This window comes from Homo sapiens, chromosome 14 (genome assembly GCF_000001405.40).
Source record: "Homo sapiens chromosome 14, GRCh38.p14 Primary Assembly".
Lineage (NCBI taxonomy): Eukaryota > Metazoa > Chordata > Mammalia > Primates > Hominidae > Homo > Homo sapiens.
In genome coordinates this window covers 38,950,808-38,975,196 of record NC_000014.9, presented here as the reverse complement: position 1 = coordinate 38,975,196, position 24,389 = coordinate 38,950,808, and the positions used below count along the sequence as shown (strand labels likewise).

Below are 24,389 nucleotides of genomic sequence, written 5' to 3'. Positions count from 1 at the left end.
AGAATTTCAATGCAGCAGTAATAGCTACATTCAAAGATATAAAAGAGAAATATTTTACAATGAACAAGTAGCTAAAATATAATAGCAAATAAACTGAAAGTATAAAAAAGAACAAAATGAAAATTTTATTATTTATTTTTAATGTTTGTCGATTTAGAGAGTACAAGGGCAGTTTTGTTACATGGACATATTGCCTAGCAGTGAAGTCTGGGCTTCTAGTGTACCTATCACCAGAATACTGTACATTGTACCCAATAGGTAATTTTTCATTCCTTATCTTTCTCCTGTCCTCCCTTTTGGAGTCTCCACCACCTATTATTCCTGTCTGTATGTTAATGTGTATACATTGTTTAGCTCCTTCTTATAAGTGAGAACATGCAGTGAAATTAAAATTTTAGAACTGACAAATATAATACCTGAAATAAAAATCTACTCAGTGGATTTAAAAGTAGATTGCACTGTCCACAATAGCTAAGATTTGGAAGCAACCTACGTGTCCATCAACAGATGAATGGATAAAGAAAATGTGGTATATATACACAATGGAGTACTATTCAGTCATAAAAAAGAATGAGATCCTGTCATTTGCCACAACATGGATGGAATTGGAGCTTATTATGTTAACTGAAATAAGCCAGGCACAGAAAGACAAACATCACATGTTCTCACTTATTCGTGGGATCGAAAGATCAAAACAATTGAACTCATGGACACAGAGAATAGAGGATGGACATCGAGAGTAGAGGGTAGTGGGGGACTGAGGGGGAGACAGGGATGGTTAGTAAGTACAAAAAATAGAAAGAATGAATAAGACCTACTATTCAATAGCACAACAGGGTGACAATAGTCAATAATAACTTAATTGTACATTTTAAAACAACTTAGAGTATAATGAGGGGATGAATACCCCATTCTCCATGGTGTGATTATTTCCCATTGCATACCTGTAGCAAAACATACCATGTATCCCATAAATATATATACCCACTGTGTACCCAAAAAACTTAAAAAAAAAACAACCAACAACAACAAAAAACCCATAGATTGAAGATGATAGAAGTCATAGTTAGAAATTTAAGATGGATGGAAATCACCCAATCTCGGTGAGCGCACTGGGCCTAGTGGATCAGGGTGCAGGGGCAACCCGGGGTGTAGGTCAGAGCTGGGAGGCATGGGGGCACGTCTGTCACTGCCCTGGGGACCATCTCCAGCATGGAGCCTCACAGCGTGGAGACCTGTGATCCTGACACCTGCAGATGCTGAGCTGACCAGAACTGGAAGCCAATTTAAACCTGGGGGAGATCAAGAAACTTTTGGATTAAAGGAAGTCTTCAGGTTTCTGCATCCTGTAAGACTTTACTTACCCTTTTTGAAATGTCAATAATATTTGCAGTGTTCTGGGGAAAAAGTGCTGGTCAGTTTTCCAGTGCAAGCCATGATATACTTCTATAACGATGAGTCTGATTCAGATGATGAAGAGCAAGAGGAAGAAACTAGCTCTTCCATTTTCTGTGCAAGGAGGCGGAAGGTCTGGAGGAAAATGTCCTCTGGGGGAAAGGGCAGAGACAGGATCATAAACTGAGGATGGCAGTCTGAAAGAAGGGGTGGCCTCTGTGTGGAGGACCAGCTCCCCTGAGGTGACTCCTCAAGGGGCAGGGAGTGCTCCTCATTCACACAAATAGGGCTCTCTCCCATGCCAGCTCCACAGGGGCCATCTCCTCCTGAGCCCTGCTCTGGGTCCTGCCCCCCATGCTTTTTTGGGGACAGCCAAGCCAGGACACGGTGCATCCTCTGCTGAGTTTACAGAGGCTGGGGGCTGCTTTGACTGCCTCTGGTCAGCACTCTAACTCATGGCTGGAACTCAGCTCTTACTTTTCTTTCTCTTGGTCATTCTTTTTTAGTGCACTCATGCATACCTTTGAGAAAAGATTCCAGGACAAAGAGAAGGTTTGTGTCAACATGAGTTCTTATCAGACAAAACCATCTTTCAAAGCTCATTCAGCACTGTCACTCTGCTGATCAGATTATAAATTATTCTATATAGATTAGTAACTCTCCTCCACCTCTCACTTAACCTGAGACTCAATTTTTAGCTATTTCTGCTTTTGTAAAAACTATTTAGATATTAAATTTTAATTTTAATTCATTGTTTAAAGGTTGATGTGGTTGTTTAGTAGCATTTTGAAAAAAATCATTTATGAAAAAGCAAAAAAACTCACCAAATAATTTTGATAAGAGTAACAAATAAAAAGACTTAAATAAAATATACACAGAATAAAATAACAAAAGAATTTTTCGCAGACAGTTCTGGATAAAAATGTGTGCGATAGATTGTATAAAGCTGTGTGTATGGGTACAGGGATCAGAACTTTAACTCTTATTAGTTGGTGACTGCTTTGGGTTTGTTACTTAAATAGACGAACATTATTATTAATAATTTTATTGTATTTTATTATGTATTATATTTTATTTATTTTATTTACTTCATTACATATTTTATTATATATAAATATATATTTTATTTTATTATTTATTTTATTATTATTATTAACATTATTTTTATTATTACCTAATGTAAAAATTTTAAAAAATGAAATCACCCAGGCTGAAGGGCAGAGATTTCCAAAGACTGGAAAAAATAAACAGAGTCTCAGCAACCTGTAGGGCAATATTAAAATAGATTGAAAATTGGCCGGGTGCAGTGGCTCATGCCTGTAATCCCAGCACTTTGGGAGGCCGAGGCAGGTGAATCATTTGAGGTCAGGAGTTCGAGACCAGCCTGGCTAACATGATGAAACCTTGGAGTCTACTAAAAATACAAAAATTAGCCATGTGTGGTGGTGGGTGCTTGTAATCCCAGCTACTCAGGAGGCTGAGGCAGGAGAATCGCTTGAACCTGGGAGGCAGAGATTGCAGTGAGCTGAGATCACACCACTGCACTCCAGCCTGGGCGACAGAGCGAGTCTCCATCTCAAAAACAAAAAAACAAAAAACAAAAAAACAAAAAAAACGAAGGTTGAGTAAACTGTATCAATATCAGATAAAACAGGTTTTGAGATAAAGGATATTATAAGAGATAAAGGAGTCTTTGTAGTGTTAAAAAGCTCACTCTGTAAGGATGACGTGACAATCATAAATAAGTATATGCCTAATCACAGGGCTTCACAGTACATGAAGCAAACCGGAAAAAATTAAAGGTAATGACAAACACCAGGCACTTGAGAATTTTCTAGATCCCCAAAGCTTTTGTTGTTAAATATTAAAAGTCAGAGCCTGATGGACTCAGAGGACAAAATGTATTAAATAAACCTGAAAATAGAGGGGATGCAGCATGTGGATATTTGTAGGGAATGGATGTGAAGAGGATGAAGCCGGAGAAACATGGCAGATTTGGGAGAAGGCCAGAGCATGAAGATTTGTTCCTTGCTTGCCATGGTATGGGTGCAGGAAGACGGACAGCAAATGACGAATAAGCCCGGGCAGCTTCACTAAGGCCTCATGCTCAACAGGGCAGCACAGAGAAAGTGGCTGAAATTCCCTGAGCCTGCAGGGCCTTGCAAAAGTGCTGAGAGGGTCGCTTGGTTGAAAGAGGGCACAGGTCTCAGTGAGGAGGATTCGGTGTGCACTGACTTTGAGATTGGCATGGGGTTGAGGCAGGAACTGAGTATATACATGTGTGTTAGATACCAATGCATGATGTCCGGTGACTGGTGGGGTGAGCTACACTTTTGTAGATGCTGGTGAGTACAGGTAATTACATGTGGAGCAGATGCCTTTCTCCAGCTGTCAGGATTTCATATAAACCCCTTGGGAAATTTTGTCATCATTGCAGGAGAAGCATGGTGTAGGGGAAGGAGAGAATCTTGAATTGACAGACTATTTATTCAGTGAAACAGCGTAAATCAAAAGTAACCGGGTTAACTTTAAGTGGCATGACTAAGGGATTAAAAATATTTTTTTAATGTTGAAATTAAACATTAAAAAATGTTTAAATAAGAATGCTTCTGATGCATGCTAAAGTGAGAGAAAAAAACAAAAAATAAGGATAAAATGCATAAAGCATATATTTAGAGTTTAACAAATCATCCAGGTTAAGAAATAGGACATGCTATTGCTTCAGAATCTTCCAGTATGGTCATTCATGATCACAGCCTCCTCCTTCCTCCCAGTGGTAACTACTGTATTGATGATTGGTTAACATTTCTTTGAAAAAAGTTTTTTAAAACCACCTTTTGTAAGAGCATCGTGCCATGATTATTCTTGTACAGGACAATAATCATGCACAGACAATTCTATAAGATAAACACCTAGGAATGGCATTACTGGGTCATACTATATGCACATGTTTGCCTTTACTGAATAATGTTACTATTTTCTAAGTGGGCTTACCAATTTTCATGACCACCAGTAGCGAATGAGAGTTTCTTTTGTTCCTCATTCTTGATAACTCCTTTTTATGCGTGTGTCAGACTTTAATATTTTGCCAGTGATGCTTACAGTATTTTGCAGTCCCTGCTCTCAGGTGATGACTTACCTTCTCATTTCTCTGAGAAAATAGATAAGAATAGACATGCCAGAATTCCCATCACTACTTCTACCTGCCTACCTGTGTCAGTGCCCTGGACTCTGCCTTTTCTCCTATCCTTATGAAAGAAGTGTCTGTGCTCTTGGCCGAGGCCAGTCATCTCACTTGTTCCCCGGATCCCATCATTTATTATCTACTCAAGGACATTACTCCACTAATTCTCTCTTCTTTGTTCTTCATCATTGTTTCCCCTTTCTATACTGGAAAATTTCCAGTATTTCCAGGCATGCAGTTATGTCTCCCAACTTAAAACACAGCAAATGGTAGTTAGTACCATTGCCAGCGACTGCTCCATTTTCCTGCTTTCCTTTACAGCCAAACTTCCAAAGAGTTGTCTTTTCTTCCTGTCTCCAACTCCTCACCTCCCATTCTCTCTTAAACCCAATCCAATTAAGCTTCCTTTCTTACTCTTCCACCAGAACTGCTCTTAAAGTTACTAAAAACTGGGCTATTGCTAACTCCAGGGGTCACCTCTCAGTCTTTGTCTTACTTGCTCTACCAGTAGCATTTGGCATTAGTCTTCTCATTTTCCAGGACACCTCTTGAGTTTCCTCCTACTTCACTGGTTATTCTTTCTTGGTCTCCCTTGTTACTCCTGGTTTATTAACACTGGATATTCCAGACCTTAGTCCTTGGATCTCACCTTTATTTGTTCCCACTCCATTGATATCTCATCCAGTCTCATGGATTTAAATAGTATAATTAAGCTGGCAACTCCCAAGTTATATTTCCTCTTCTGGAATTGTTTAGGGATCTCCAAATTTGTTCATTCAACTGTTTACTTGACAAATTACTTGGCTATATATTTAAAAATCCCTTAACATGTGTGAAACCAAACTGTGATTTTTCTTAAAGTTATCATACCATTTGCTTTTATGCAAATTAGAAAAATACTTCTCATCCTTTCGGCAGATGCTGCCTGTGGAGGGTGAACAGCTTGCCTGGATGCTTGGGTGCGGGCATTTGCAGCTTCCCTCATCTTCCCCTTCAAATGCCTCCTCCCATTGTCTTCCATTTCAGTTGCTAGCAGTTCCAGCCTTCCTATCATTCAACTCAAATATTTTGGAGTCATCCTTGAGGTCATTTTTCTTTCCAGTCGTATCTAATTAATCAATAAGCCCCGACAGGTAGTTAGGTTGGATAAGAGGAAAGAGAATTCCAGCTAAAGGAACAGCACACAGGTAGGGAGGCCAAAGAGCACATCACATGTTTGAGGAGGCAGTGTAGCTCTTCAGCCTTGCTACCTTTTTATTTTTATTTTATTTTATTTTATTATACTTTAAGTTCAGGGTACATGTGCACAACGTGCAGGTTTGTTACATATGTATACATGTGCCATGTTGGTGTGCTGCACCCATTAACTCCTCATTTACATTAGGTATATCTCCTAATGCTTTCCCTCCCCACTCCCCCCACCCCACAACAGGCCCCGGTGTGTGATGTTCCCCTTCCTGTGTCCATGTGTTCTCATTGTTCAGTTCCCACCTATGAGTGAGAACATGCGATGTTTGTTTTTTTGTTCTTGCGATAGTTTGCTGAGAATGATGGTTTCCAGTTTCATACATGTCCCTACAAAGGACATGAACTCATCATTTTTTATGGCTGCATAGTATTCCATGGTGTATATGTGCCACATTTTCTTAATCCAGTCTATTGTTGTTGGACATTTGGGTTGGTTCCAAGTCTTTGCTATTGTGAATAGTGCTGCAATAAACATACATGTGCATGTGCCTTTATAGCAGCATGATTTATAATCCTCTGGGTATATACCCAGTAATGGGATGGCTGGGTCAAATGGTATTTCTAGTTCTAGATCCCTGAGGAATCACCACACTGTCTTCCACAATGGTTCAACTAGTTTACAGTCCCACCAACAGTGTAGAAGTGTTCCTATTTCTCCACATCCTCTCCAGCACCTGTTGTTTCCTGACTTTTTAATGATTGCCATTCTAACTGGTGTGAGATGGTATCTCATTGTGGTTTTGATTTGCATTTCTCTGATGGCCAGTGATGATGAACATTTTTTCATGTGTCTATTGACTGCATAAATATCTTCTTTTGAGAAGTGTCTGTTCATATCCTTTGCCCACTTGTTGATGGGGTTGTTTTTTTCCTGTAAATTTGTTTGAGTTCTTTGTAGATTCTGGATATTAGCCCTTTGTCAGATGAGTAGATTGCAAAAATTTTCTCCCATTCTCTAGGTTGCCTGTTCACTCTGATGGTAGTTTCTTTTTCTGTGCAGAAGCTCTTTAGTTTAATTAGATCCCATTTGTCAATTTTGGCTTTTGTTGCCATTGCTTTTGGTGTTTTAGACATGAAGTCCTTGCCCGTGCTTATGTCCTGAATGGTATTGCCTAGGTTTTCTTCTAGGGTTTTTATGGTTTTAGGTCTTATGTTTAAATCTTTAATGCATCTTGAGTTGATTTTTGTATAAGGTGTAGGGAAGGGGTCCAGTTTCAGTTTTTTACATAGGGCTAGCCAGTTTTCCCAGCACCATTTATTAAATAGGGAAGCCTTTCCCCGTTGCTTGTTTTTCTCAGGTTTGTCAAAGATCAGATGGTTGTAGATGTGTGGTATTATTTCTGAGGGCTCTGTTCTGTTCCATTGGTCTATATCTCTGTTTTGGTACCAATACCATGCTGTTTTGGTTACTGTAGCCTTGTAGTATAGTTTGAAGTCAGGTAGTGTGATGCCTCCAGCTTTGTTCTTTTGGCTTAGGATTGTCTTGGCAATGTGGGCTCTTTTTTGGTTCCATATGAACTTTAAAGTAGTTTTTTCCAATTCTGTGAAGAAAGTCATTGGTACCTTGATGGGGATGGCATTGAATCTATAAATTACTTTGGGCAGTATGGCCATTTTCATGATATTGATTCTTCTTACCCATGAGCATGGAATGTTCTTCCATTTGTTTGTATCCTCTTTTATTACATTGAGCAGTGGTTTGTAGTTCTCCTTGAAGAGGTCCTTCACATCCCTTGTAAGTTGGATTCCTAGGTATTTTATTCTCTTTGAAGCAATTGTGAATGGGAGTTCACTCATGATTTGGCTCTCTGTTTGTCTGTTATTGGTGTATAAGAATGCTTGTGATTTTTGCACGTTGATTTTGTATCCTGAGATTGCTGAAGTTGCTTATCAACTGAAGGAGATTTTGGGCTGAGACAATGGGGTTTTCTAAATATACAGTCATGTCATCTGCAAACAAGGACAATTTGACTTCCTCTTTTCCTAATTGAATACCCTTTATTTCTCTCTCCTGACTGATTGCCCTGGCCAGAACTTCCAACACTATGTTGAATAGGAGTGGTGAGAGAGGGCATCCCTGTCTTGTGCCAGTTTTCAAAGGGAATGCTTCCAGTTTTTGCCCATTCGGTATGATATTGGCTGTGGGTTTGTCATAAATAGCTCTTATTATTTTGAGATACGTCCCATCACTACCTAATTTATTGAGAGTTTTTAGTATGAAGGGCTGTTGAATTTTGTCAAAGGCATTTTCTGCATGTATTGAGATAATCATGTGGTTTTTGTCTTTGGTTCTGTTTATATGCTGGATTACGTTTATTGATTTGTGTATGTTGAACCAGCCTTGCATCCCAGGGATGAAGCCCACTTGATCATGGTGGATAGGCTTTTTGATGTGCTGCTGGATTCGGTTTGCCAGTATTTTATTGAGGATTTTTGCATCGATGTTCATCAGGGATATTGGTCTAAAATTCTCTTTTTTTGTTGTGTCTCTGCCAGGCTTTGGTATCAGGATGATGCTGGCCTCATAAAATGAGTTAGGGAGGATTCCCTCTTTTTCTATTGATTGGAATACTTTCAGAAGGAATGGTACCAGCTCCTCCTTGTACCTCTGGTCAGCCTTGCTACCTTTTTCATGCTGTCTTTTGCCCATAAGCGTCTTTCTTTCAATCCTTCACAGCCCAGTGCATCTTTTACAGCCCAGCTCAAATAGTACCCATTTTGTTGACATTTCTTTATTGCTGTTTTTGTACCAAACTATTATTTATTTACTTATTTATTTATTTATTTTTTAGACGAAGTCTTACCCTGTCGCCCAGGCTGGAGTGCAGTGGCTCGATCTCAGCTCACTGCAACCTCTGCCTTCTGGTTCAAGAGATTCTCCTGCCTCAGCCTCCTGAGTAGCTGGGATTACAGGCTCCCACCACCACACCCAGCTAATTTTTGTATTTTTGTATTTTAGTGAAACCCTTGGGGTTTCACCATGTTGGCCAGGCTGGTCTCGAACTCCTGAGCTCTAGTGATCCACCCGCTTCGGCCTCCCAAAGTGCTGGGATTACAGGAGTGAGCCACCGTGCCTGGCCCGAACTATTCTTTTTACTACTTGTCAATATTTGTAATAGTTGGCTTTTGCCCTAATTTTCTCATCTGTATGGTGATATTACTACTACCTAACTCACAGAGTTTATATGGGACTAAGTTGAGATAATGATTGGAAAGAACTTAGGACAGTGCATGGCACATGGTAAATATTTTTAAAAGTTACTTTTTTTTTTTTTGATAATGCTGATGGTGTTACTCTCTTCACAGTAGATTGTGTGCTTTTGGGGGGTGAGTGAGTTTACCTGATTATCTTTGAATATCCAGCATTTAACATAGTGTTTATTGAAGAAGTTGGCTCATAGGATGTCGATGTAGTTGAGTAGACATAGATACATGGAGGTAGCAGTGGTACATTGGAAAAAATGCTGAATTTAGAAGACTTATTGGTGAAGCTCTGGCTCAGACTTTACCAGTTGCATGACCGCTTGGGCAAGCCACTTCACCTTTTTGAACTTTAGTTTCTTTGGCGGAAATTAGAGATGATACCTTTGGGTAATATTATAAACATCATATATGAGATAACATATATGAAATTACTTGGATCTCAGCACTTTGGGAGGCTGAGGCGGGCGGATCATGTGAGGTCGGGAGTTTGAGACCAGCCTGACCAACATGGCAAAACCCCGTCTCTACTAAAAATACAAAATTAGCCAGGCATGGTGGCGCATGCCTGTAATCCCAGCTACTCAGGAGGCTAAGGCAGGAGAATTGCTTGAACCAGGGAGGCGGAGGTTGCAGTGATCCGAGATCACTTCATTGCACTCCAGCTTGGCAACAGAGCGAAACTCCATCTCAAAAAAAAAAAAAAAAAAAAAAAGAAAGTACTTGGTAACTTATACCTCATGATGTGAATTAAGGTTATTTGGTATTATGGTTTGTAATTCAAGGTAATTTTTATTAAAATTACAAAGCAATGAGACTTACTGTAAGTTTTATAAGAATATTAGTCCTGCTGTTTTACACTTATCTCTGTTATATGTGTATATGGATCTCTTTACCCTTTGTGTGGGAAGGTGATGTATTACTTATGATTACTTTTTGCACATGTAATGGGGGCTGCAAGAACATTTCCACGCTCTGCTCTGAGAAGGGTTATCTTATGGCTTGCTCGAGTCATCACAATTGTGGTCTGTTGATCTTTGCAACATGGACTATTAGTCTTCTTCTGCCTTAGAAAATCAGTCTGTGAAAGATAATGTAGGTTAAATGCAATCAAACATTAGTTTGAATGTAACTTGTAGAATTAAATTTAAAAAACCCAGTTATTAGACAGTAAATAGTTGTTTTCACAATAAATTGGGATGGATAAAATTTACACCCATACTAAAAACCTTGACAATTGAATAAGTTTCTTTCAGAAGCATTTTTATCAAGCAGTTTGTGTACATTGATGAGTGGTCATCTTGAAATCTTAGTCAAATAGAACTAATCCCTCCCACATTCCTCAGTACTGTGGGCTGGTCTGCCTGCACTGACATTTTTTCAGCAAACCTCAGCTCTTAGTTCTACTGCAGTCCTTGAACTGAGAGAAGCTGCTCAATCAAAATTTATTCTTGCTTGTGAAGCTGTGTTTTATCCCATTTGTTAAGGGTTTCTTATGTCTTCTAAGAGTACATAAAGAACTCTTTGTATTCTGCTGTTATCCATTTAAACCCAGCCACTTTAAAATGTGATAAACCTCATTTCTATATTGTAGTATTGATAACATTTCAGGCCCTGGATGAGGGTGATCTGTCTCATCATTTAGTGTTTGGCAATGTTGATGAAACTGTTCAAGGAGCCCTGTGAGATGGCAGTGGCAGTTGCAGATCTCACAGTCACACTATCATTTGTACATAATGGGCTTGGTCTGAAGGATGTAATCCAAACCTGACTACTTTGCAACTCTATTCGATATTTTATTGCTTTTAAACCTACTTTGAGATTGACTGCAGCTATGGCAGTCTCAAGAACATCTCAGTGCTGTAGAATAACTCTTAGTTGAGATTCATTCATTTCTTCATTTACCCATGAAGAAATAGAATGTTCTCTGCTCACTTAATGTAAGTAAGAAAATGATACCTAGTATAACTCAATATATATTTTTATATTTAAACAGTTGAGCCAAGTTCTCATGTGCTCTGAATAATTCAAGTTAGTGACTGAGGAAAACAATATGATACTCAATTTCTATTTATATGAATAGTTCATGGTGTGTGTGTGTGTGTGTGTGTGTGTGTGTGTGTGTGTATGATCTTTTTCCTGGGTCAATGGAGACCACTGTCTCAATTGTGTAAGAGGAAAATCAGGACAGTCAGTAAGGAAAACCCTTGGTTTATCTTTCCAAATTTTATCCCAACACAAGTGTAATGGGAAAGGTATGCTTTCTGTGCCATTGGAGCACAAAGGATAGCCTGGAAATCTTCCGAAAGTAGGTGGTGGCTGACCCTAAGTCTTGAAGAAAGAGTGAGAATCAACTGGATGCAGAAGATGGAGGATGATTCTGCTGGCTGAGAGATCAGTGTATAGAAAGAAACAGCAGGGAATATAACATGTAACTGAGGAAATTGGATTTGGTATGATGGGATCAAAAAGAGAATGTAGGGGAGTGGTGGAAATGAGCCTAGGCCTGCAATTGGGAAAAATAATTAAGTTGTTGCTATTATTGTTGTCATCACTACCACCAATCACATCATCATCCACTTTTTGACCCCACTCTCACACCCACCATCATTGTTATCATTGTCCTGGAAAGTAGCATCCTGGCTCAATAAAGGAAGTAGCAGAAAGGGAAATGTTGGGGCTGTCTAATCTACAGAACTGGGAGGCTAATTTGATATGGGGTGAGTTAAACTCAGATGGGTTGTTGTGTTCAGGCTGCCTGTGGGACATCCAAGAGATGCCAAGCAAGGCTCTGGGCATACAGGAGTCAAACTCCACAGGAGGCTGGGCTGCAGATGCACTTTGGGATTGCTGGAATAAAAGTGCAACTTCATAGGTGAAGCTGTCATTGTTTGTTTGCAAAGAATACAGGAGATGAAGTCAGGGAAGAGAGCAAACTCTACTTTTAGGGGGCTTGAAAAATGTTAATTCATGTTGTGGGAAAGGAAAAAGGGAATGTGTATTAGTCCATCCTCACATTGCTATAAAGACATACCTGAGAATGGCTAATTTATGAGAAAAGAAGTTTAATTGGCTCATGGTTCTGCAAGCTTTATAGGAAGCATGGTGCCAAGGTCTGCTTGGCTTCTGGGGAAGCTTCAGGAAACTTACAATCATGGCAGAAGGTAAAAGGGGGCAGGCACGTCATATGGCAAAAGCAGGAGCAAGACAGTGACGGAGGAAGTGCTATGTATTTTTAAATGACCAGATCTCATGAGAAGTCACTATCACTACAGTACCAAGCCATGAGGGATCCACTCTTATGACCCAATCACCTCCCACCAGGTCTCACCTTCAACATTGGGGGTTACATTTCAATATGAGCTTTGAGTTGGGATACACATCAAACTATATCAGAGAGTTCAAGAAGAGGGAAAAAAGGCATTGAAGGGAAATGACGAAATGTCAGTAGCAGAAAGAGGGAGAGAATTCATTTATTCTCATCTATTGAGTGGCTACTATGTATCACTGAGGTAGGCAAAGAAGATATAGGAGTGAGTGACCACGACACAGAAGACTGTCTAGGTGTAGTGGGCCATGCAAGATGAATATAACAGTTTTTGTTGTTAAAAAACTTATAATACTTAGTGGAGGGAGACACATAAGCAACTAATAAGAAACAACATGGAGGAGAATGCAATAATTTCCACAGTAGGAATAGATTATTCCCAACTGGGATTCTGGGACTGGGGAAGGCTTCTTGGAAAAGAATGCTTGGATGAAATCTGGACACCTCAGTGGATCATCTCTCAGTGGAGAAGAGAGAAATGCTTTCTGGGCTCGTTGTAGTGCATAAGTGTTATGAACTGAATTGTGTGTCACCTTCCCCAAGTTCATATGTTGAAGGTCTGACCCCCAATGTAACTATTTGGAGATAAGGCCTTTAAGGAGGGCCTATGAATCGCCATAATCTGAAAAGATTGATATCTTTATAAGAAGAAGAGACACCAGAACTCTCTGCCTCCATGCATGCACAGAGAAAAGGTCATATGAAGACACAGTGAGAAGCTGGCCATCTGCCAGCCAGGAAGACAGCCATTATCAGAAACCAAATTTTTCAGCATGTTGATCTTGGACTTTTTGTCTCCAGAACTGTGGGAAAATAAACTTTTGTTGTTTAAGCCTCCCAGCCCATGGTATTTTGTTATGACAGCCCCAGTCGAATAATATGATGATCAAAGGCACAAAGTTGCGTGGTGTATTTGGGGACAGATGAGTTTCTCCATGAGTCTGGAGACAAGGCACGTGAGGGGATGTGGTGGGAGATAAGTGAGAGAGGGACATTTTTTGAGTAGCTGTGAATGATCATGAAGGAAATGACCATTTGGTGTAGTACCTCTTGGGTTATAAATACTGGCCAAAGTGCCTTCTAAGCAAAAGGAGCAGAAGTGGAAAAACACTTGGGCTCCTTAAGGAGGGTGAGAGCTAATGATCTAAATAGATTTATGTCACAAAGTCAGTTGGGGTAGTCACCTCCCTTATAATGAAGACCTGAAAAATTAAGATTCAAGTAAAACATGAAACATTTCCCACATTCACCGATGGACAATATCTGTTGCCATATAGGCATTAGATATGATAGTTTCATTATGTGATTTTTGGCTCCTTTGTTAGCAGTGTTAGAAAATCAGCTTGGGGGTAACAATCAGAGCACCACCCTGGTGGCTATATTCATTAATCTTGTAATTTATTGTCAGTGAGTGCAATGCTCGCACAGACATCTTTGATGAACTATTGTGAAAACATTCCTTTTTCATCTTGTTGAAACTGCAGGCTTCACTGTTGATGCACTGGCTGATTAATGCCTTTCTGGGCCAAGCCAAAGTCATGTACAATGCAGCCAGCTTTCCTTTGAATAATCAACTCTCATTTAGAAGGAAATGGAAAGTTGTTTCAAATTAAACACTAAAAAGAAAGTAGTGACAGATGTTTAATTGGTTGCTTTCTTGTCCCTTCTTAATGTGTGAGATGCCCTCATGAGAGAGGTTAGAGCAGACAGATTAAGTGGAGAAAGCCACTTAACTATCCTCTGCCCTCATGACCAAGAGAGTATTCATTCCTCATTTTCTTTTTGATATATTCCTGTTTGTTACAATTTTTTAGTATCTGATTGTGGAAAAGGAATTACTACCCCCATATATTTGTCAGTGGTTGGAAAGACAGTGTTGAGTGAGCCTGATACTCATTCACCACACACGAAGCTTGGCTCAGTCCTCAGAAGTTCAAAGAACTTGTCTGTTCTTCTGAATACCTCAGACCAAGGGCTATCATGAACATGTAAGTGTTCAGGCACCCACCAGTGAATTTCTCTTCTGTAGTGTTCATTGAGACTGTCACAGGTTCCCTTCCTGTTTTTACCTTCCATTTCTGACCTAAATCCCCCTCTGAAACTCACCTGTCTGGCTGTGACCTGTGGACATGACTTGTTGTTTGCCCTCTGACTTTGTGCAACGATTGCTACTAGTAAAGAGATGCTCTGATCTTCTGTCCTATTTCTGGAGGGACCTGATTGGAAGTTTGAACATTCTGAAGGTCCCCCAAAGGGTCTGCTGATGAGATCACATATATAAAGTATTGAGCATAGAATCCGGCACTAAGTAGGCTTTTAGTAAATGTTAGTTCCTTGCTACTTTCCTACCTTTAGCATCTTCAGATGTCAGATGAAGGATATGATGGTGGAGGAAATTTGAGAGTTTTAGACTGTTTGCTAGATGGAATCAGAATTGAAAACGAGGAAGATTTTGGAGCATGGAGCAACTATTTTCCCTTCTCTTTTGATCCATCGTAAGGTCTGGTATCAGGTTAGCCCTTCCTCCTATGGTGGCTGCTGAGGTTGGAAAATGAGTTCAAATTCAAACTCACCAGCTGTGTGATCTTGAGAAAACTGCATAATGCCTCTGTGCCTCATTTGTAAAATGGACATAACAGTATCTCACTGAGAATTATTGGGAGCAATAAAAGAATCACATAAAGCACCTAGAAACAGAGCCTGGTGGCTAAAAAGTGCTCAATAAAATTAGCCATTAATATTCCTACTGTGATTTTCTTGTATAAAAAGTGCCTGACACATAGCAATGTTAGTTCTTACTATTATCACTATCATTATTATTATTTCCCATATTGGTCATTTTCTATGGATAGTGAAATAGACTCAGGGGTACAGTTTTGTGTATTATTAGCCTGTGTTTAAATGGCTCATACACTTATTCATATATACTTACTAGATCAATTAGAAAATGCAAAGTTACTCTTATTTGAGCTTTTATTTTTGGCGTATTTTTTCAGAACCAACAGAAGCTGTCTCTGAGAGAGGTGAAGCCACTTATCTCTTTGCAGCTGTGCACTGAGACTTGGCAGGCAGTATCTAACAGGCCCTTGAATGAGACAAATCTTGTATCAGAGTCACATTTACAACATGGTGCCTTGACTACTGATGCCTTGGACTGACTCACTTGTCTCCCCAGGCTTTACATCTTTTACTTGCTGGGACCTCTACTACTTGCTTCCTCTTACCTGTGAATTATCTACATGGATTATTGTATTCTTGCCTCTTTCTCATTGTGGTTAATTGATTCCTGGCTCTTGACTGTTAGTAATCTCATTCTTTTTCCCATTCCTGGGTTTGAGTAATTACATAGTGCTCAGCTTGCTAACCTGGAGCTGGCCTGTCTTTCCTGACTTCTGATTCCTTTCTGGTCTCATATTATTGACAGCCTCCTCCATCTAAAATTTTTCTTTTTTTGAGAGATGGGATCTTGCTGTGTTGCCAGGGCTGGTCTTAAACTCCTGACCTCAAGTAACCCTCCTGCTTCAGCATCCCAAAATGTTGCAATTACTGGCATGAGCCACTGCACCTGGCCAGCCTTCTCAGTCCAAATGTCTTCTTGTTCGTACTGACCCATCAAAACGAATACTGTCCATGTGACCAAAGCCTTTCCTGAAAAATTGCTGTGGCTGACATGCACCACATAACAGTAAGTTGCCATTTGGTAGTCTGTTGTAAAAGATTCAGAGAGAGAATTTCATGCCTTGCGTCTTGAGGTTGATGTGAAGTGAATCAGTGGGTATTGTTCAACCACAAGTAAAAAGTGGATTTGAATTTCTGTTTTTGAGTCTGTATCCTTACACTATGGAAGTGGGAGAAAGAACAGTTCTGAAAAATGCATACACATCTTTCCTCATAAATAGTGGGCATTGCTTATTTTGTTTTCTTCAACCACGAATCTGTGTAGCGTTGCATAATTTTCAACTTCCTGAGAGAGTAAGTTTTGTTTGTGTCATAAACTCAGAGTCCTTGATGACATGTTGACAGGTAATGGAAATGATGGGATTGGAGAGCTGACAGGTGACTCATGCATATGGATGTCTTCTGTAATTATACATAGCAATCTATCTGGGGTTATTTATGGTAGCATTGTCATGGCGATCAATGAGCAGTAAACAAAGCTCTCAAAGCCATGGGGAGAGTTTTTATAGCTTCCATGACCAACTGTAGTACTTCCATTTTTAAAAAACAAGTTTCATAATAAACTTATTGAACTAAACAATTTATATGTATATACTTTAAAATCATGGTGAAGTGCAAAAGTCTGCTGAAATGAAAAAGAACTGGTTTGTGGTTGAATAGGAGCCAGAGTTCCAGGCCTCACTCACTGGCTGTGTGACCTTGAACAGGTCATCTATTTTGAGTCTCAGTTTCCTTATTCTTAATGGGGCTTCAAATGTCTGTCCCAGGATGATCCATAAGACTATTGTAAGGAACAAATAAAATAATGAATATAAAAGAGCACTTATAGCATGTCCAGGAGAAATAAGCCTGTAAGACAGCATTCTGTAAGAGAGTCTAGGGATCTGGTTTTGTTCATTTTGGGTGCCAGAATCTTGGTGGATTTCTAGATAGATTTTTAAGATCACCATACAGAAACATGAATTTTCAAATGAGGATATACCCATAAAATGCCAAGTGAAGCAGACCACAAACCATTAGAAACAATATGGTACCATCACTATCCAGAGGACCTAATGGCCCTTGTAAACTGAACATGCCTAAAACCAGACTCTTGGTTACTTCAAATGTTTTCTTTCCTAGTGTTCCTCATTTCTGTAAATGATACTATTTAGCAGAAATCCTTTTCCTTCAGAGTATTTATACTTCTCTATTATATTTGTTAGTTTCACTACTACGTGAGTTCTATGGGGGCAGCCATCTTTGTTCTGTTTGTCATGGCATTGCCAGTAACTAGCATAATGACTAGTACATAGCAGACAATCAATAAATATTTGTTGATTAATTGCCTGAATGACTGCTTAAAATGCATTAAATAGAAAAAGACACATGAAAATGTTACTCATGATTCTTTTGAAGGTAGAATTATGGTGTTATATTAGAGCTTTTCTATACTTTCCAGTTTTCTCTCTAGTTAGAAGAAAGTTATTAAAATTGGTATGGAAAGCCTGGTTTGTAAACATATCAAATTAAAAAAAATCATGTGCACTGTGTTATTTTTAATGGTCAGGAAGAAAAGCAAACAATGAAGCTGGATAGTTTCTTACAATAAAATATCTGCATTATTAACATACCAGCAGAAGATCAATTAAATTAATTATAAAAATTGACAGCAAAGAATTATTAAGGTCAGTTATAATCCCAGAGAAATAACTCCTGAAAGGTCAGTGTAATGTTCTTTTGAAGAGTTTTGCCTTATTAAAAACTGGACCAGTACTCTTGGAACAAAATAACAAATTCAATTTTTAGGAAACTTTACTTCCAATTTCTTTTATTCAACTTGAACTTATTTTTATCTTAAGTTCCATTTTTGTTTTTCTGACTTGGGAAAAATAGTTGATAGAGTTTTTTTATAAGATTAAAATTTTTATTGTGGTGAATGAGGTCAAATTTATACTTTGCAAATCTTATATACACTCCTCGAGATGTATCATATGCTTTTAAATTTCTTACTCAAAAGAGGTATTTACAGCTCTCTTGATACCACAGTGAAAAGCAACCCTCTCATCTTGTTTTCTGGGTTTGCACTGTTTTTTGTACTATATTACTGTTCCTCATGGACTAACAAAATATGATTTTGTTACTAACTTTGGTCAAGTGCCATGCACATCTCTGTGCTTAGAAAGTGTTACTTAAAAACCACAACACCACTACATGGGGAATGGGAAAGAAAGAATAATCTACAAGGAAGAGTACAAAACAATTTTCCTTTTGCAGTATGTTATTACTACATGGTATACCCTGAGATGCTAAATATGAATCAGCCTTGATGTTGTATGTTTGTTAAATCCAACAGATAATGGCATATGTCTTTATGTAATAAAAAAGTATAATTTATTTTGCAAGTATGACTGAAGTAATATTACCTTCAGTATGAAAACATGATGTTTCTCTGAGCATATGCAATTATTTTATAGGAATCAAACCACCTTACATGGATATTAATAAGATCGTTTCTATTGTATATCTAGTGTTTTTAATATCCATGTAAAAAGCTTGTTAAAATGACTGAAAACATGCATATTTAGTTATTAGTTAGGATTTGGAAATACAGACAGTAGGTATTAGTAATAATGCTGTAGGGCTAATTTATGTGCAATTATGAAATTTTATTACTATTCATTATTTTTCAAAATAGCACATTTAGCCAAAGATATCATTATCAAACATTTCTAACATGGCAAATACTAACATAGACTTTCCTATCTTTATTCTGTGATGGGTCATGATGTTATTATATGCTTTCAAAAGGAACTATGAATTATAATAATGACAAGGATAACAACATACCCTTCCAAAATTCATGCAGCACATTTGGTATTTGTTCATTCAATTCTTCATTCCTTGTTTTCTTTTTTCAGTAACTATTTGTGGCACACCCTCTATGTGTTAGATGCTGTGCTGGCTTCTGGGAATAAGGTAGGGAGTAAAATAAACATGGTCTTTGCCTTTCTGAAGCTTACAAACTAGAAGAAACAATTACTCATTGATTCAACATGTATTTATTGGGCAGCTACTATGTGCCAGACACTCTATAGCAGTAAAAACAGCAGACAAGGGCAATGAGGTAGAAAAGGCTTGGTATGTTCCAGGAACTGAAAGTAGGCCAACACAATAAATGGATTGGAGGGGGCCAAAGTGGAAGCAGAAAAGAGGCTTTTGCAGGCATTTAGGTGAGAGACGATGGTGGCTGGAACTAGGACAGCGGCAGAAGAGATGGAGAGAAGGGAACGCATGTACAATCCACGTAGCTGCTAGAACTGACAGGACACTCAGAGGGCACCCTAAGAAAATTAAGGTTTTAACTTTGCTGATCTCTTAAAGTCCGGTTCAAATCTGATTTTTCAAAAAACTATTCCTGATAATTTACAGCCAAGAGAGACTCCTGTCTCTTTTTTTTTTGAGACGGAGTCTGGTTCTGTCGCCCAGTCTGGAGTGCAGTGGCGCGATCTCGGCTCACTGCAAGCTCCGCCTCCCGAATTCACGCCATTCTCCTGCCTCAGCATCCCGAGTAGCTGGGACTACAGGCGCCCGACACCACGCCCGGCTAATTTTTTGTATTTTTAGTAGAGATGGGGTTTCACCGTGTTAGGATGGTCTCAATCTCCTGACCCCGTGATCCGCCCGCCTCTGCCTCCCAAAGTGCTAGGATTACAGGCGTGAGCCACTGCGCCCGGCCACCCCTGTCTCTTTTATCCATCATGTATGTGCCCAGATTTATGGCCATCGTAACAAGTATATACTGGCTTTTATGCATAGTGACATTTGTCTTGACATTATCCTTTTTCTACAAGCTTCTTACCTTTTGAAATTCTCTTGTATGCTTTTTTTTTTTTTTTTTTTTTAATACTTGACTCTAATAAACAGAGGTCAGAAAACAATGAATGGGGTTTGCTACTGGTACTCTTTACTTGGGGATTTTACAATAGAAAATCAGTTCCATTACATCCTAGGATCACCTTTAAAGAGATAATTTGTCAGGACCCAAATCATATAAGAGAAACAGAACTAGGTCTTCCAGAGTAAATCGTTCTATTTCCTCAACAGCTTTTATCCTGAAAGTCTTTTGTTGGGAACTCGGAAAAGCCATCAGATAGTCCTAATCTAGTACAGGGTGATAGCACTAGGCAGACTCAAGAAAAAGAGGCTTTATTAACTTCATTTTGCTTTTTGCTTCATTTGCGGACCTTTATCATAATTCCCTTGTCCTTGAAATCTCCCTTGGACATTACTCTTAACTTTATAGAAAATAACTAAAGAATTGTTCCAGAGAATAATCTCATGAGCTTTCTGCAAGACAGTTTAAAAGTAGATAATACTAAATTTTCTTCCAGAAGCAACATATCTTCCATTGAATCTTCATCTGTGTGATTTGCAATGGTAGTCTTGAAATAATATGATGGAAAAAGGGACATAGCTAGAGATGAGACCAAAGAGGGATGGATCTTGACAGATTGGAACTAACTTTGAAAAGAGGAGAAAATTGATTTTGCATTGTGTCACGTATACTTGGAAACAGAAGGTGCAGTCTTTATCCCATGAGTATGTTAGTCTTCATATATCACTAAGTCCTTTGGGAAAAATGACTACTACCACAGAAATGCTTGTCATGTCAGATTTATCTAACATGTTGTTTACTGCAGAGTTTTATTCTTCCAGGTCAATGTGGCATATGAATCTGTCTTCTGTGTGTGTGTGTTTTTAAGGCCTTATCTTTGTCAAAAAATCAGTATTAAGGTCACAGAGTCTATAGAGCAAGCCTTGGAGAAAGGTGTGTATTGTTCCAGGTTGATTGCTACTAGAATGTAGATGCAGGGCTGCCTATTGTGAGATTAATGAAAAACATCACCTACCAATGCCCACATTACTTGGCGGTTTAGTCTCTCCATACTGGAGAGAAATAGAATTCAAAGAACAGCAAAGAATACTTAAATGGACTTGTTGGAAATGAAGAAATAGTAGGACTTAAAAATAGAATTATAAAGGTTCGATCTGCAAAAACCTTAGATGTCATTTAGTCCTGTCTTTTCATTTTACATAGAGTCACAAATCTGGACAAAATATCGTTTGGCTCAGAATCATCCCTCAGAATCACCTGTAGAGGGGCTTTAGGTGGTAAGTTCAGAGCTGGGCTAATACTCTGGTAGGGTCATGACTCCCTTTCTCATGTTCTTTGTGTCATACCTCTTTTTCTTGAAGCTGGAGCTATTATTCACTGGAACTAACTGTAAGGTGCCTCCTTGCCTAATTTGCATCCTGTCACTCCTTGCTGCATCTCCCCTGCTTTCTGGGAGTCTAACCCTCTCAGAGGATCACACATGCACCAGTTCGTGTTGCCTCTTACCTTCGTCATAGTAATGCTCAGACCTGGAGAACCCGTGCCTTTCCTCCATCCATCAGTCTCCAGTCTGCTACAGTTGACAGTCTCCTCTGCTTGGTCAAATCCTGCTTCTGCCACAGAACTTTCTCTGATTGCTTAGCCCTGACAGATTTTGATGGTTTCTGAATTTCTGAAAAGCTTATAGTTTATAATAGTGGCTCCTAAGCCTAGCTAATCTTCAAGATTGACTTAAAATGCAGATTCTTGGGCCCTACCTTCAAGATTCTCTTTTGGGCTAGGTCTGGAGTAGAGAATTCGACCTTAAAACAAACAAGCAAACACACACACACACACACACACACACACACACACACTCACACACACACACACACGCATGCTCCCAGGTGATTTTGATGAACAAATAGATTTGAGAACCAATGATCTAAAGTACATAAAAATTTAGTTTGTCTTGCATAAAGTCACATGAAAACTTTTTCATGTGAGTTTGTTTTATATTTCAACCTGTAATGTGAACTGCAATGTGTTTGAGGATGGTGGGAATGGGGAGAGGGTGGTAGGGTCTGTTTGCAAAAGAAAGGTTGAGCTGCAAGTCCCTTGGAACAATAGCTAATATATGTGGTAAGACAAGTCTCATGAAAACGAAAATGAAGGGAGGTGCCTAAGGATATTTGTCCCCTTAGAGTCTATTCTGAACACAGTAGTCACATTAATTTTTTAAAAGTATCAAGTCAAATCATGTCACTCCCTTGTTCAAAGTCTCCAATAGTTCTCATCATACTTGGAGAAAATCTTGTGCCCTTACTGTGGTTTCCAGAGCCATGCATGAACTGGCCCCTGGTCAGCCCTCTGACCCCGTTCCCTGTGTCTCCTCCATGTTCTGTGCTCTTTTTTATTATTCTACAAGTGTATCAAGCAGGCTTCTGTCTTGGTGCTTTTTCACTTGTTCTTCCCTAAGCATTTGTGTGACTCATACCTTCTCTGTATTCACATCTCTGCTCAAAATGGCATCTCCTCAGACAGACCTTCCTGATATCCTCTTCAAAATAGTTCCTGGACTCTACCACCCACAGCATTAATCTGGATTTGTTTATATCTGTCTCTTCTACTAGAATGTGCACCCCTGGAAGGCAGGATATTTTTACCTTCCAGGGGTGCATAGTCTAGTACGAGAGACAGATTGCCTATTTTGCCCATTTTGTTTGCCTATTTTGTTTGCTCTCAGCTGTCCCTGGACCATACTAATAAGAATAAAACAGATATTTGCTGACTGAATACAGTCAATAATGTGTATTGATGATAGTGATACTGAGTTGGAAGATTGAAGGAATGACAATAAGAAAACTTTATATCCCAGCACTTTAGGAGGCCGAGGTGGGTGGATCACCTAAGGTAAGGAGTTCGAGACCAGCTTGGCCAACATGGTGAAACCCAGTCTCTACTAAAAATACAAAAATTAGCTGGGCATGGTGGTGCATGCCTGTGGTCCCAGCTACTCAGGAGGCTGAGGCAGGAGAATCGCTTGAACCTGGGAGGTGGAGGTTGCAGTGAGCCAAGATCGAACCATTGCACTCTAGCCTGGGCAACAAGAGTGAGACTGTCTCAGAAAAAAAAAAAAAAGCTTTAGGAATTAAGAAGTGCCTTTAAAGATGAAGGACAATTAAGTTTTAAGTTGGAAATAGAGTACACAGTCTACACAGGTCAAGGAAAAACTCAAAGGCCTTTGGCTTTGGTAGGCCCTCTGAAAGGATGAAGTCACCAATGTAAGACGTTAGGCAGTGGTGGGGATTCTGGTGGGCTGGGCGGTGTATCCTGGCCTAAATGTATTCAAATCTATTAACAAAAAATAAAAAACGCTGTGCTGGCTTAAAAGATACTTCTAAATGTAGAGCAAGATTCTGCTCCAGCTGTCAGTTTGTAGCTGCTGATAGCATACAAATTCTATGAAAATGCAATTGTGGTCCTTCTAATTACTTGTTATAAATATAAAAATACCTGTTGTAAGTCACAGAAAGTGCACTAAGTCAGGAAGTTTGGCCTTTTGGACTCTGGAAGATTCTCTGTAGCTTTAGACTAACGAGTTAGCTGTTGTAGGCTTCAAGTTATTCACTCCTTGGCTGTGGATTAAAAAAAAGTCACCCTCTGGGTTACAGGCAGAAAAATGTTTTTAATTCCCTAAAGATGACTCATAACATTAAAAATAATTGAAACAATATAAAGCATTTGAACTGTTAGAAAAAAGTAGCTTTATACATGTATTTTATTTCTTCTCTTTTATTCTGCCTAAAGAAAAGCATATGTACCTTCAGCCAAATCTTTCATTTTAATCCATGTCCTATCCGTGAGTAATACATAATGAATATATTGATGAATTACTATGCAAGCTGAGAAGCTGCATGCTGGCTTGCTCGAGGATTCAATTAAAATGGAGCAACATTATTTGTAATAATCAAATGTTGTTTTGAATAAGTAATTCAAGTAAACAATGCAATTAGTAAAAAGTGATGATGATAAAGTTGAGTGGGGGAAATTCTTATATATAAATTAAATATAATTTTGGAATTTATAAAATAATAGTTTGTTGGAATGGAAAAGTTTATGCTGGAATTAATAATAAATTTCTGAAGAAATCTTTTTAGTTTGCAATACTTACCTAACCTTCTTTGATACTTCAGGCTGTTCTTTTAGTTGGCTAAGAAGTTCTTTTAGTTTGCAATACTTACCTTACTTTCTTTGATAATACAGGCTGTTCTTGCCCTGCAATAAAGAAATCCCTAAGACTGGGTAATTTAGAAAGAAAAGAGGTTAATTGGCTCACAGTTCTGCGGGGTGTAAAGGAAGTGTGGTGCTGGCATCTGTTTGTCTTCTGAGAAGGCCTGAGGGAGCTTTTACTCATGAGGGAAGATAAAGGAAGTGTGGTGCTGGCATCTGCTTGGCTTCTGAGGAGGCCTGAGGGAGCTTTTACTCATGATGGAAGA

The 24,389-nt window shown here is 39.0% G+C and overlaps 1 long non-coding RNA gene and 1 pseudogene across 3 annotated transcripts; one reads left to right on the top strand and one right to left on the bottom strand.

The window, feature by feature from the left end:
* On the top strand, positions 1,167-1,669 carry RIPPLY3P1 (RIPPLY3 pseudogene 1; annotated as a pseudogene).
* On the bottom strand, positions 1,371-23,524 carry LOC102723516 (uncharacterized). Of its 3 annotated transcripts, none has more exons than XR_429358.2 (3): positions 23,407-23,524; positions 18,864-18,981; positions 1,371-1,547 (listed from the first exon to the last, which is right to left on the bottom strand). It is a non-coding gene; the product is annotated as an uncharacterized LOC102723516 (long non-coding RNA). The 3 variants fall into 3 exon arrangements; XR_943769.1 differs by lacking the exon at positions 1,371-1,547 and adding an exon at positions 5,574-5,687; XR_943768.2 differs by lacking the exon at positions 1,371-1,547 and adding an exon at positions 9,950-10,109.
* Positions 23,525-24,389: the final 865 nt, after the last annotated feature.